Source organism: Homo sapiens, chromosome 6, assembly GCF_000001405.40.
Source record: "Homo sapiens chromosome 6, GRCh38.p14 Primary Assembly".
Taxonomy (NCBI): domain Eukaryota; kingdom Metazoa; phylum Chordata; class Mammalia; order Primates; family Hominidae; genus Homo; species Homo sapiens.
The window spans coordinates 146,382,220-146,396,670 of record NC_000006.12 but is presented as its reverse complement, the minus strand read 5'-3'; the positions used below and the strand labels follow the sequence as shown (position 1 = coordinate 146,396,670).

General features: G+C 33.7%; 1 protein-coding gene across 8 annotated transcripts in view, besides 1 other annotated feature; it reads right to left on the bottom strand.

Annotated features, from left to right (window-relative positions):
* The window catches only part of GRM1 (glutamate metabotropic receptor 1), a 409,895-nt gene that overhangs the window by 40,931 nt on the left and 354,513 nt on the right, over positions 1-14,451 (bottom strand). For all 8 annotated transcript variants that reach the window (NM_001278065.2, XM_017010784.2, XM_011535782.2 and 5 more), the window contains one exon: positions 9,655-9,781. In NM_001278065.2, the coding sequence (NP_001264994.1) occupies positions 9,655-9,781 (127 nt within the window). The remainder of the gene's footprint in view (positions 1-9,654; positions 9,782-14,451) is intronic.
* Positions 6,979-8,178: an enhancer, noted in NCBI's record as "BRD4-independent group 4 enhancer chr6:146709629-146710828 (GRCh37/hg19 assembly coordinates)". NCBI's record gives its function as "activates an origin of replication core promoter dependent on BRD2, P300/CBP, MED14 and CDK7 cofactors, and independent of BRD4, by STARR-seq in HCT116 cells {active_cell/tissue: HCT116}" and the evidence as "EXISTENCE:reporter gene assay evidence [ECO:0000049][PMID:35650434]".

The following is a 14,451-nucleotide window of genomic DNA, read 5'->3' as shown; positions in this document are numbered from 1 at the left end:
TTTTATGGGTCTTTTTTGTTTGTGTGTTTGTTTCGTTTTGAACCATATTTTTCTGTTTTGTTTGTGTGTTTGTTTTGTTTTGAATCACCTTTTTCTGTTGACAATATAAGGGATAGTTCATAAACATTAGAGGAACATGTAAGCCTAAGAAGTGTCCAATCCAAGCTGGCCCTGAGTGCTAATGTTTGGAGCTCCTTTAAATTGATAACCAATTTGCCAAAAGTGGTAGGTCACTCAGCCTTAGGTTTCTTAGAAAACCTTTACAAGAATACTTCCCGTGTTGTCAACTTATGAAAGATCACTTTATTTTAGTGATTGTGTGTTGCCTTCCTACACTCCGTTTGCTTTGGGAATCTAAGACACCATTGGCAAGCACACACTTTTGACAGAACTTAGTGGCCTCTCTTCCTTGTGTATCAGAGATTTGTCTCTGTCTAAATACAAACCTTTTTCTGGAAGAACTTATTCTTCCTATATAAAGTCACATACTAATCCTAATTTTATTTTTGTTTTCCCAATGCAGGCAAGACAGATGATACATAGATGATAAATATATATATATAGACGATAGATAGATAGATAGATAGATAGATAGATAGATGATGGATAGGTAGGAAAATAGATATTTAAAATAACATTGGCCATATGGGAACTAATTTATGATGAAATCAATAAATTAAAATATTTACAAGGAGCTCTAGACAAATTAGGAGATAAAATACCACAGTGAATTGTCAGTTTCTTTAGCTGTCATCCTGCAAACAAATTTTCCAATTCAAAGATGATTTTTGTCAAGGCTTTGGTAACCTTCTGAATGCTACCTTCTTTTCATTTCATTCTTTTTCTATGCAACTTTACCTGACTCTCTAAATGAAATACTCTGTCATCAGAGATTTTACCAGAAAATAGTATAACATTTTAAACTTTCTAGAACACAAGTCAGATCTATAGAAGTTGAATTAAAGAAACTGGTATAAAGCCAAATTAAGACCTATAGTTAATAATTTTCCTAAACTTCATGAATACAGAACATAATGTTTGCTATAGAATTTGGAAATTTTATTAGATACTTATTGTCCATACTACAAGTATGTACCAATTAATTCAATTAATTATTAGCCTTTGATGGAGAAAAATGTTTAAATGCAAGAGCAGAAAAGAGAAGATTAAAGTAACCCAGTGGTGTAACATTTAAAAAAGAAAAATAGAAAAGGCATTGCATAAAGCACTTTCAGAAGCTTTTCTTTCAATAAATATTCAAAGTTGTAAACTAAATAAAGATGAAGAAAAAACTTTAGGAAACTTTCAAATAGTTCTGAAATAGACTCAACAACTAACTTAAAAAGGACCATATTCTCTCCCTCTGTAGGTAGGCTTAGACCTCCTGAATTAGTTGAATCAAATGAGGAAAAAACAGTTATAATTTAAAATTACCAATTTAGAAAATGTCTAATATGTGGCTTGACATTTCCAGATAGAGTTAAAAAGTAAATAACCCAAATCAACATAATTATGGATCTTTCAGTAAACCAACTAAAAGGTCTCTGCTCTCTATGGTTTGGGAGCCTATGGAAGAAAATCTGTAGATATCTCAAGCAGAAGTTTCATTTGAAGAATATTTGTGAACACTCAGTACATCTCATGAAAAATGAGGCAACTTATTCTGGAAGGACAAGTTGGCCAATTAAACAGCAATGGAAAGACATTTTCAGGATAGCAGAAGATGTGTCCAGCTCATGCTTCATTTGTAATTAAATTAATTTGGAAAAAAATGTATGGGACATTGATAAAATTGCAAAAGAAACCTTTGAGCATCTCCAGATGGATTGTATATGGTTGTGCCTCTCTATGATTTATTACTAGGTACTAGTTCAAATAGCGTGCTTATTTTATGACTCTGTTTAAGCGTTCCCCTGTTGAAAAGCCACAATCCTCACAATGGCTAAAATACAATTACATTTGTATTTCTTAGCTGAAACATTCTAATTTATAAATCCAGTGATATGAGGACATTTTCACCGGAATATTTATTCATGACCTCATCATTCCCAACCCTCTAGAAAAATGAAAGGGAACCTTGATACACTGATGATTACACCCATTAGTAATTTTAAACTGAAGCTCTGCAAAAGCCTCCAGAAGCAGAAAGGGCATGGAAGTTAACTGCTGACCCAAAGACCTTGGAGCATGCTAATAACCATATAATGATCTTCTGTGCAAGATCACCATTATAAAATTCTTGTATATATCATACTCTCCTTTGTATATTCTTGCTTATTCATACTTCTTTCCTTACTGATTTAAAGCTATAAAAATCTGAGTTCATCTTTATTATTTCTCTTACTACTAAGAGGAATTTATCTGAGCCTAGATATACTAGAGACAATCATCACACTAACTCAATAATTTAGTTATATTAAGCTACTGTTGGTGGACATCATTCGAGAAATAATATAAAGGTCTTTGCCCATGCCTATGTCCTGAATGGTATTGCCTAGGTTTTCTTCTAGAGTTTTTACGGATTTAGGTCTTACATTTAAATCTTTAATCCATCTTGAGTTAATTTTTGTATAAGGTGTAAGGAAGAGGTTCAGTTTCAGTTTTCTGCATATGGCTAGCCAGTTTTCCCAGCACCATTTATTAAATAGAGAATCCTTTCCCCATTGCTTGTTTTTGTCAGGTTTGTCAAAGATCAGATGGCTGTAGATGTGTGTGTTACTTCTGAGGCCTCTGTTGTGTTCCATTGGTCTATATATCTGCTTGGTACCAGTACCAAGTTGTTTTGGTTACTGCAGCCTTGTAGTATAGTTTGAAGTCAGGTATCGTGATGCCTCCAGCTTTGTTCCTTTTGCTTGGGATTGTCTTGGCTATACAGGCTCTTTTTTGGTTCCATATGAAATTTAAAGTAGTTTTTTCTAATTCTGTGAAGAAAGTCAATGGTAGCTTGATGGGAATAGCATTGAATCTATAAATTACTTTGGGCAGTATGGCCATTTTCACGATACTGATGCTTCCTATCCATGAGCATGGAATGTTTTTCCATTTGTTTGTGTCCTCTTACTTCCTTGAGTAGTGGTTTCATGTCTAAAACACCAAAAGCAATTGCAACAAAAGCCAAAATTGACAAGTGGGATCTAATTAAACTGAAGAGCTTCTGCACAACAAAAGAAACTATCATCAGAGTGAACAGGCAACCTATAGGATGGGAGAACATTTTTGCAATCTATCCATCTGACAAAGGGCTAATATCCTGAATCTACAAGGAACTTTAATTTACAAGAAAAAATAAAACAACTGCATCAAAAATTGGTCAAAGGATACGAACAGAAACTTCTCAAAAGAAGACACTTATGTGGCCAATAAACATGAAAAAAAGCTCATCATCACTGGTCATTAGAGAAATGCAAATCAAAAGCACAACGAGACACCATCTCATGCCAGTTAGAATGGTGATCATTAAAAAGTCAGGAAACAACAGATGCTGGAGAGGATATGGAGAAATAGGAACGCTTTTGCACTGTTGGTAGGAGTGTAAATTAGTTCAACCATTGTGGAAGACAGCGTGGTGATTCCTCAAGGATCTAGAACCAGAAATACCATTTGACCCAGCGATCCCATTACTGGGTATATCCTCAAAGGATTACCAATCATTCTACTATAAAGACACATGCACAGGTATGTATCACAGCACTATTCACAATAGCAAAAACTTGGAACCAACCCAAATGCCCACAATGATAGACTAGATAAAGAAAATGTGGCACATATACACCATGGAATACTATGCAGTCATATAAAAAGAATGAGTTAATGTCCTTTGCAGGGACATGGATTAAGCTGGAAACCATCATTCTCAGCAAACTAACACAGGAACAGAAAACCAAACATTGCATGTTCTCACTCATAAGTGAGAGCTGAACAATGAGAACATATGGGCATAGCGAGGGGAACATCATACGCCAGAGACTGTCAGGGAGTGTGGGGCAAAGGGAGGGATAGCTTTAGGAGAAATACCTAATGTAGATGACGGGTTGATGGGTGCAGCAAACCACCATGGCACATGTATACCTATGTAACAAATCTGCACATTCTGCACATGTATCCCAGAACTTGAAGTATAATTTTAAAAAAGAAATAATATAAAGGTATGTTATGCTAACTTTTCCAATAACAATACTCTGCATATGCAAAGATTGCATGAGTTTAGATATTTGAAAAGATTCAGAAGACTTGTAGAAGACACTCATGTAACAATTTTATTTAAAGTCAAAAGGTCTAATACGGTGCGAGAAAGACAGTGCATGTCAACACCAAGGGACCAAGAGATAACCAGGTGCAAGCTCTCTAGGTTCTTATTCACACATGGATAGACTTTAACTGTGGATTGGACTACCAGGATCTCTACCATGAATATTGGCTTTGGGTTAGCTAGGGCAGAAGTTTCAGTGGAATCTTTTTATCACCCCCAAGTCATGTAGCCAAATCAAGCTAATTGGTGATTTCAGGCAAAATCCATCAGTGAGCAAACAGGATTTGGTTGCCACCAAACACATTTTAAACTTTAAACTGCATATCGTAAATCCAAGTTCCCCTAATGAGGACAATAGTCAAGGACAGATACTAAGGCCTCTCCAAGGATAATCATAAAGTTGTCCAAATCTAGCTATAAAATAACTCTGTCCTATACAGTGCATCAAATACAGATGAAGAACAATGTTGTTATGCTAGAGGGGATGTAAGTACTCTCGTGTTGTAACAGTAGCAGTTTGTCATGACACCCAGAAACATACTTGCAATTCTACTATGATTGCTTTATCTCTTGGGAAGATGCTAGATTCTTTTTCATATATGGAAACCAGGCTTTTCAATGCCAATCTGGAACCATCCAAAACAGAATCTATATTTTGAGTAAGTTTCTTAAAAGTTTTAGATTCTTTTTCCTTTTTTTCTTTTCTTTCTTTATTTTTTATTTAGGATAAATTTAAATTTATCCTAAATTTGAGAAACATTAGCTTTGCCATCTTGAGGGAATTAGCTGTAATGTCATTTGTCCAATTATGTAATGTCATGTTATGTGGCTTTCTTTGAGATCCTGTTTTGAAGTTTTTAAAAAAGAGTTATCCAACCTCCAGGTGTGTTTGTTTATCCCAAAACTAGAAAGAGGGGAGACTACCTTCAACCAGTGGTGAGTAGCGTCCACCTAACCTCAGAACTCAAAAGGGGGACTTTGTGAGAGTTGTGCTTTGCATATCTGAACCTTGGGAACTTGAGGTCCTGGCAAATGTTTATGGTTAGGGTTATTACAGAGAACTCAGAGCTATCAGACAAGTCAGTTTCCTTCAAGCCAACTACAAATTACTGAGCAAAATCAAAGCAAGGTGGCAATAACTCTGATCTGAGGACTGGTAGCTACTTCTAATTTTTGAATCAAATGTTAGGGTACTTATAAGATCCTTATAAGATCCAGTACATCTTATATGATCCAGATGTATTGGAGGAGGATGAAATTTACTATCAGACTTTTTTCCAATTAGGTCAAGTCAAATTTAACATAAATTAAGAAATAAAACTCTATGCAAAGCGTCTTGAGGTAATTCATAACATTTGCAATACTACATCATGATCATATAAACCTTCATCAAAATGCTTCCCTGATTGTTTTAAAATCAATATAAATAGTAATTCTATTACAATTCAATGAAATTCTACCAGGTGAAATTCTGTTTGTAATTCAGTGCTCAGATCAAATGTCCCTTCTTCTGCAAAGGCTTTTTTCTTCCCAGGGAAAAACAGCCGCTCCATATTTATCTGACATTTTACCCATAACTCTATTGTAGGACTTATAGTTGGCTGTTTACATGGCTAGTTTCATATGAAGCTCCTCCCTTAGGATATAGACATTGCTTAATTCACCTGTATATTCCCAGTTTTTAAAAAGTACCTGGCACAAAACAGGTGGTAGTGTTTATTACAGAATGAAATAAATTAGTAGATACTAGTGTAAGAGGTTACAACAACTGTCGGAATGGAAAAAAAGTTGTTAAAATTAGTTAATGTTTATAAAGCATTTTCCGTTTTTTTTTTTAATGAGAAAATGTAGCGTAGTCTGTCTTTTTGAGGAATATTCTTATTTTACTTCTACAAATAAATTAGTAGCATTGGATTACATATAATTGGTCCACAAATTGTTAAACTACTGTCAAGCTGTATATCATGGTAGAAAAGATCCCTGTTTTTGTATCACAAGAAATAAAGTGTGAAATTTAAGTGCTGAATTAAAATGTGCAATTTCACAAGAAGAAAATATGAGAAACTTTTTAACAGCTTCAAAAAGCACTTTCTCTAAGAAATATACTAATTTCTTCATAGCCAAAAAAAACCACATTTTAATGGAAATAAAAACCACAGTAAACCTGTTTTTATTCATTAATATTATAATGTATGGAGTATATATTAAAAGTAGCTAACTTTTAAAGTGATTTTAAGTATATTTTAACCAACTATTAAAAATAAAAAGTATATTTTACTTCAGTAGAATACACTATTTTTCAAAGAAGAATGATTTCTCATTTTAACTAATATTTAGTGAAAAAAAATTACCCATAAATCAAACACCTACTTAAAGGCAATGCGTTTACTTTTCTGAGTAATTCTACTGATTTTTAGTATTCTGTTCTCATAGGTTTTCTCATTTCATAACTACCGCTACCATGGTAACACCCACAACACATTGGCACGGACTATGCCCTTGCTCTGTGCTTGACATGGCATCAAGCAAGTGGTAAATGGGATTTCCTGTAAGAGACCAAAAGAAAGGCAGAATCAATATGGATCATTAAGACATTAGTATAAATTAGAATGAGGAATCTATATTGTGAAAGACCCTAAAGATAAGATTTGCAAAATCATCTGAATATATGACCCAGTCGCAGCTGCATGCCTGTTGTTATTAGCTAAGGGCATGGTCTGAGGAGTTGCTGGCTCAACTCATTTGAATGTTAAAGTGACTTTTATGCATATGATAGCTCATGGCATATTAAATCGTTAGAAATGTAATTGTATTAATATTAATCCATTTTTAACCAAGGAGAATTTTAAAAATATTTTACCAAGTTAAAGATCCCTAATCAACGGAAATGAGCATTTGGCAGTGGACAGAAAATATGCAATAATCCCACAATAGAGCATCTCCAAGGAATAAAAGGTATGACCTTGAGTTCCACTATTACATCATATCATGTTTTTTAAAAAGCTTTTTTATCTTAGTGTTTTAAAATAGGATAGAAATTTTTTTAATGTGTGAGATAAGCCCTAATGAAAATGAAATAGAGCAGTAGGAGAAGTTGGAGAAAGCCCAAAAAATGTAGACAAGAGAAAAATCTTTGTACCTCAAAGCCAAGACTTCTGACTTCTAAGATTAACCTCATAAAGAGGTCACTTTTGTCTTTGAGCTTTTTCCTAGTCAGCTGTGATCTCAGTCAAACAGATGAGTGGAATGACTGTCAGTAAACCCCAGCTCTCAAACACAATGGCCATCTAAGCGGACCTACTTATACAAGAAAAAGAGGCCTGGCAGGAGGCACACACCATGAAGTAGGATACAAATTTGAAGAGAAATAATGTAAGTGGAGGGAAGGCATGAGTCCAAAATGAGGTTGGAAAAGCTTTTCCAAGCCAGGCCATTGCATGCAACCATGGCAGAGTGAGAGCATTCATTAGATCCAGTGACAAACAATCTTGAATGCTCACTGTGGTTTTTCTATTAACCAACTGCATTGACCTCGATGACCCTGGGTGAGTCCCTTCTTCCTAATTCCCTCAATTTAACAAACATGTATTAAGTAGCTATTATGTTCAAGGCATCAGGCTATGCGCCAGAGAGTGGTGTTTCTCAATGGGTGGGACAGAGAGTAATTGCATCAGGATCTGCTGAGTTCCACTCCAGCGGGAGCAAAGCGGAATCTCTGGAGGTGGGTAATTCCTGGGTAATTTTTAGGCATGAAATTTAGCTGGCAAATAAAAAGATGAGTGAGATGCAGTTCATACCTTCAAAAACGTTCTGATCTACTTTTCTTCTCTTTAAAAAGGACCTTTGTACTAGGTGACTTACAAAAGCTTTCTGCTGCTCAGTTTAACTTTTTTCTAACAAAATTAACATTTTACAAGGTATTGTCACTTAGTATAATTTTAGTTACGTGACCTAGTTCTACTTACCTAGTCATTTTTTATGTACTCTGAATAAACTGCATGATTTCTTAGTTGCATATTTTTACTTGGAAACAAGTAAAAAAATGTCCAACCATCAAGAATATTACATTTACGGATGATTTTCAACAGCACCCAAAAAGACATGGAGTCAGGGGTTAGTGGACTAGGTTCTGCTTCTCACTATTTTCCTGACTTTGGCCATACAACTTCACGTCTCTAGGCCTCAGCTCCCTCTTTCTAAGATGATAAGACGAGGGGCTAGATTATTCAGATGACAAAGTGTCTATGTACTCACATAAAAAAGCCTCTATGGCTCCTAAAATTTATGCAAAGTTTTATGAATCATTTCTCCTCTGTAAGCTCATAACAAGATGTGTGAAAAACAAAATTCATTTATATGAACATCACTCTTAGGAAACTTACAAACTCATATAATCAATCCCTCTGAGTTCCATTGGTTTTACTAGTGAATCATCTGTTTCATTTATTCCTTTCCATTCCTACTGTAGCTGTCCTAATCCACACCTTTTCAAGTAACTCACTTGCATCAATACAACAACTTCCTATACCACTACAAGAAGCATACCAGAAATGCGGGTATCATAATGTCATTCACCACTTTAAAATTCTTTAGTGGTTCTCCTGTGCTCAAAGCCAAAGTCCAAACATGTAGAGGAATGTCACACAGAAGCACTCTGCCATCCCATCAGTGTCCTTGTCTATTCTCATTTCTGACCACTACCCTACTGGACCATTGTCCCTACCTACCAACCCCACATACTTGTTCTATGGTTTTCTGCAAATGTGTCATAAACTTTCATGTTTCCCGTGTTCTACTTTAGGCCTGAAATTCCTTTCATCTTCTTGCCTGCTTAACAAACTTTATGCACTTTATAGATATCTCTATTATTTCAATAATTATATTATGTTTTATTATATTTTTCATGTTTCGTTCCTGATAGGTTTTAAGCAAAATAAAAGCCGGGATGATTATTTTAATAATTATGTTATGTTATATTATATTTTTCCATGTTTCTTCCCTGATAGATTTTATACAAAATAAAAGCTGGGACATTTACTTTTCTATTTTTAGGGCCTATAGTAGTGCCTCATCCATAGTAGATGTTCAAGAAATGATTGCAAATATAAATTCAGGTGGCCAGAAATACCTTCAAATACAATTTAAAGAAAAACAGAAAACAACTCTATAATAGCATAGCCTACCACACATCAATTCATTGTTATTTAGATTTACATGAACTTTCTTTTCAATATAGATTATAGAAAACTTATGAGGTTTATGTATACTCCTTGACATGAGGACTAAAAAGTGTGCATTGTAAATTAACATTGAGAAGACATGAGCTAATCATTCTCATTTGAGGGATGGACACATTGGAAAGGCAAATAGTGAGGCACAAGGTTTCCAAGTGAGGCAGTTCCTACCTGTTAGATCTGCATTGGGCCACCATCCCAAGTCACAAGCTTTGCAGGTGAACTCATCTTGCACATATTCATTCTCTTTGCAGGCCGTGCAAATCCAGCAGCAGCTCACTTCTCCTTTCCGTATAACCTATAACATAGATATTTCATGAATTTTAAAGATAGTTTTCCCAGAAAAGCTTCTATTTCAGATGAGGATTTGTTTTCAGATTATGAATAAAGAAAAAAAGACTAACTATGAAAATAATCTTATATGCTGAGGAATCTTAAGAATGTGAATTTGTATATATTTGATTACCTTAGAGTTTGGATGGAATTGTCAATTCATTCCATGCTGGGTTTGGAGGCTTTTCAATAATAATTCATTTTATAGAGTTATTTGACTACATTTTTTTGCAGAGTTAAAAATGAAACAGTTTAATTTAATCCTTGTTTATATTAATATTTATTACTCTCAAAAAAGAAAAAGTATATATTTTTCTTCTCTGAGAAAGCAAGTAATGTTTTACTAAAAAAGTCTGTAATAAAACCTTTTAATTCATCAAAGCTAAGTAATTATACAATTTTTGTTGTAATTATGAAAAACTGAATTATTAGACAATTTCACTCAAGAGCAACTATATATACATAAAAACAGAATGATAGCTAAGAAAGAAGAATCAAGTATTGCCCTGCCTGACTTTCTCTAGTGAATTCAAAAGATCATAACAAGTACTGGTAGCAAAATTACTAGTTCAAAATTACTGGAGAGCTGCTTAATATCTGAGCAGTTTAAACTTTCCCCCATTTTCAGTTTGCTTGGTAAACACTTTCACACTCCATAGTACAAAAATAAACATAAAAACACATTCCATTTGAAGTGCACGTCTTGTAGACAGCACACAATTTGGTCTTGCATTTATCTCTAGTCTGACAATTTCTGCCTTTTATTGTTTAGTACATTTACATTTATCATAATAATCAGTATGGTTAAATACAAATCAATCATCTCTTATTTTTCTTTTTTCTGTCCTATATGTTCTTTGTTTTTTGCCTTCTTTTTAGCATTCTATTTTATCTGCATAGTGGCTTACTAGTTAGGCCTCTTTGCTATGTTCCAGTGGTTGCTCTAAAATTGACAATATGCACCACTAATTTATCACAATGTACATTCAGATAAGATTATACTACTTTATGTATAATGTAAGAACCCTACAGTAATATTCTTCCATTTTCCCCTCCCGTCCTTTGGGTTATAGTTTTATACATTTTACTTCCACATATTTATTTTATAGACCCTTCCCAAATGAATTATTATTTTTGCTTTAAACAGTCAATTATCCCTGAAATATGTTTTTTAAAATAACAAAGATATTATATTTTATATTTAGCCATATATTTACATTTCTGGTTCTTTTAATTACTTTGTTTAGGTCCACATTTTGGCCTGGTATAATTTTCTTCTTCCTGAAGACCTTTCTTTAACATTTACAGCCATGCCAGCCTGAGAATATGACCTCTCTCAGCTTCTATTTGTTTGAAAAAGTATTAATTTTGCCTTAGTATTTCAAAAATAACATTTTCACTTGGTATGGAAGTTTAAGTTGACCGTATATATATATTCTATTTCAGCATGTTATGTCATTCCATTGTCCTAGGGAATGGAATTCTAGGTTAAAGATTATTATTATTATTTTTGCTTTCAGTGCTTTGAAGATGTTACTTCTTTCTTGTCTCACCTATAGTTTCTGATAAGAAGCCTGCCATAATTGTTATTTCGTTCTTCTGAATGTATCACCCCTTTCTTATTTTGGATATTAATTTTTTATCACTGGTTTTTAGCAACTTAATTGTAATGACTTCTTTGTGTTTATCCTGCTTAGGATTTGTTGAACTTTATGGATTTGGGCTTACATTTTCATTACATTTAAAATTTTACAGCCACCATTTCTTCAGGTTTTCTTCTGACCTGCTTCACTCTCCCAGCCTTTTGAAGCTTCAGTTGCACTTATAGTCTACCACTGGGTATTACTCTGCAAGTAACTGAGAGTTTGCTCATTTCTTTTAGCTTTTAATTTTTTCTCTTTGTGCCTCATTTGCCTGTTTCCTATTGCTATGTTTTTCAGTTCACTGACCTTTAGTTCTACAACAATTAATGTGCTGTTAATCCAATCCATTAAAATGTTTTTTTCTTAGATATGTTATTTTTCAGCTGTATAACTTCTAATATGTTATTTTTTATATTGTCATTTTTCTTCTTTTTATATTTATGTCTTCTTTTAAATCTTTTAGCACGTATTTATCCTTGTGTTTTAACGCCCTTGACTGCTAATTTTAACATCAATGTAATTTCTGGAACTGTTTCTATTGCTTGGTTTTCTTCCTGGTAATGTGACACATTTTGCCACTTGGTCAAATCTGCAATTTTTTGGCTAGATGCAAGACATTGTGTGCATTAAGGTGTAGAGTGCGGATTTATTTTTCTTCCTTTTTAAAATGAGTGTTGGACTTTGTTTGAGCATGCAGTTAAGCAACTTACAGCTTAGTTTGTTCCCTTTGAGCTTTGATTTTAAATTATTAGAGCAAGTCTAGAATAGTCACTGTTTGAGGAATAGTTTAGCCTCATTATTAAGACATGACCTTCCAAGAGCTTTTACTTAATTCCTTATGTATTCAACAAGATATCTCTACTCTGGCTGCTGGAAGTTGGAAAATTTCTGGCTCTATGTCAGCTCTGGGAATCCAACTCCCTACTAAGTGTTCCTTACTCGGACTCAAAATTCCAGCCGGCTGACATGTAGACTAGTATTCAATCAAATACTCAAGGGAATGCCTATGCTAATTTCTGTGGCTCCTTTTTTGCATAGATCCATCTTCTTCCATACTTTGCACTACAAATTCTAGCTGTTTTGGTCCTCCCAAACTCTGATTCTGTCTTCTTAAATTAGCAAGATGGCCAAGCTCCATTTGTTTTCTCTCTCAAATGAACAACCATCAGGAAATTATTTCTGTCTTTCTGTCTCCAGGCAGAAAGCCTGAGTGATTTTAGGGTTCACCTTGTTTGTTTCCCTTCACTTCCATGAACTCAAGGTCATGTACTGTTTTCCAATGTCTGAACACAGTTGTTTTGTATATTTTGTCAAGATTTCTAGTTGCTTATGGCAGAAGGCTAAGTCTGGACTCTGTTAATCCCTCATCTCTAGGAGCAGAAGTTCCTCTCTAACACAATAAAAATGATCAAATATTCCTATATGTAAAATCAGAAACTAAATTCTAATTATTGCCATACTTTAAAATGATAGAAACTCTAGCCTTCATAAAAATAAAATTATCTTCCTGCACATCAGGTTGACATTTATACCACTGTTTTAGAATTACATAAAAAGATTAAATGACAGAATATTTTCAGCAAGTGTATAAGGTTTTCTGTTCCTACTTTTACTTTCAGATAACTTTTGAAAGTAGAGTCAATTAAGTCTTTTCTGAAAAAATTCACACCTATCTTCAAAATAGGCATAAGAAATTTAAATTATAAAAGATATCTTTTCTAAATGATATGAGAAAAAATTGAATTAATAAGTAAATGCTACTGTCTTATTTTAATTGGGATAAGCAGTACAGTAAGAGCCATCATGAATTATTGTATGTCACTTCAACCAGCTGTATCTTTCTCCCTGTGTAAAATTAGTACTGCTAATTAGACAAATTCAAAAGACAATAATGCTAAACCAATTTACTTATGCAGGATGACTGGTGAAAGTAGATTCTGCAAATAACTAGTACATGGAAGGTGTTTGACATTAGCTTTTGAATGACTGAATACATTAATGAATAAGTTATTAGCTTATATCTTTAATACAGAATTAAAAATAGGGATGCTTACATGGAGTTAGTTTTTTAATCCTCTTTCTTTATGCACGAAGTGCATCAAGCATGTGTACTTTTGCCATATAATATCTGTAAGATGAAATTTATCCTTTCTATCTTCATAGTCAACCCTCTAGACTCAGACTTTATTAATTTACACTGAAATTATGCTCCCTCCCCATAGTATCATCCATTGTATATATCTAGGGACTTATATACCATGCCTCTAATTTCTTCTCACTCCAGAGTAAGATGCACACAGCTGCCAAGATCATCCAAATAGTCTGTAGCTCCTCAAAGGAAAGGACTATGCCATCTTTTCAATGTTTTCACAGCATAGTCATCAAGGCACAGAAATATACCAATAACACACAGCCAATAAATGAGTGTTGAATGGAATATTTTTCAAAAATATAATTAGGTCACTCAAAGAACTTTAGTGCCTCCTCTTTTAATACCTTTGAAATATAACTTCTTCAGTCATGTATTCACTTGGCCCCTAGTTTTTGTTTCTGTACCTGACTTTGTCTGTTATTAATTTCTTACATATGTCTGTGAAAAAAGGAAGGGTAGTCTCTATGCTTAAATGCATATTACCTTCTATTTAGAATGTCATCTTTCCTACATAAAACCCTCCATGTCACTACTTCCAAGATAAGACACAAAAGTCACATGCTTTAGTGAGTATTTTAGAGCAGTGAGTCTTTCAAAGCATTATTTTATGTGGAACTCTTAATCAACAAAAATATAGTTGATATTTTATTACCACAGGTTAGCTTTTGTCCTCTAATTGTTTTACAAATATGGGGGAGATATGTTACATTCAGACAAGTTGTTTTTTTTTTTTTTTTAAATCTTAGGTTCTTATATCTCTTATATATGTTCTAGTTTCCCCCAAAGTGACAAATTTAAAATTATTTTTATATTTGTCATAGTAACTGATATTTCTTTTGT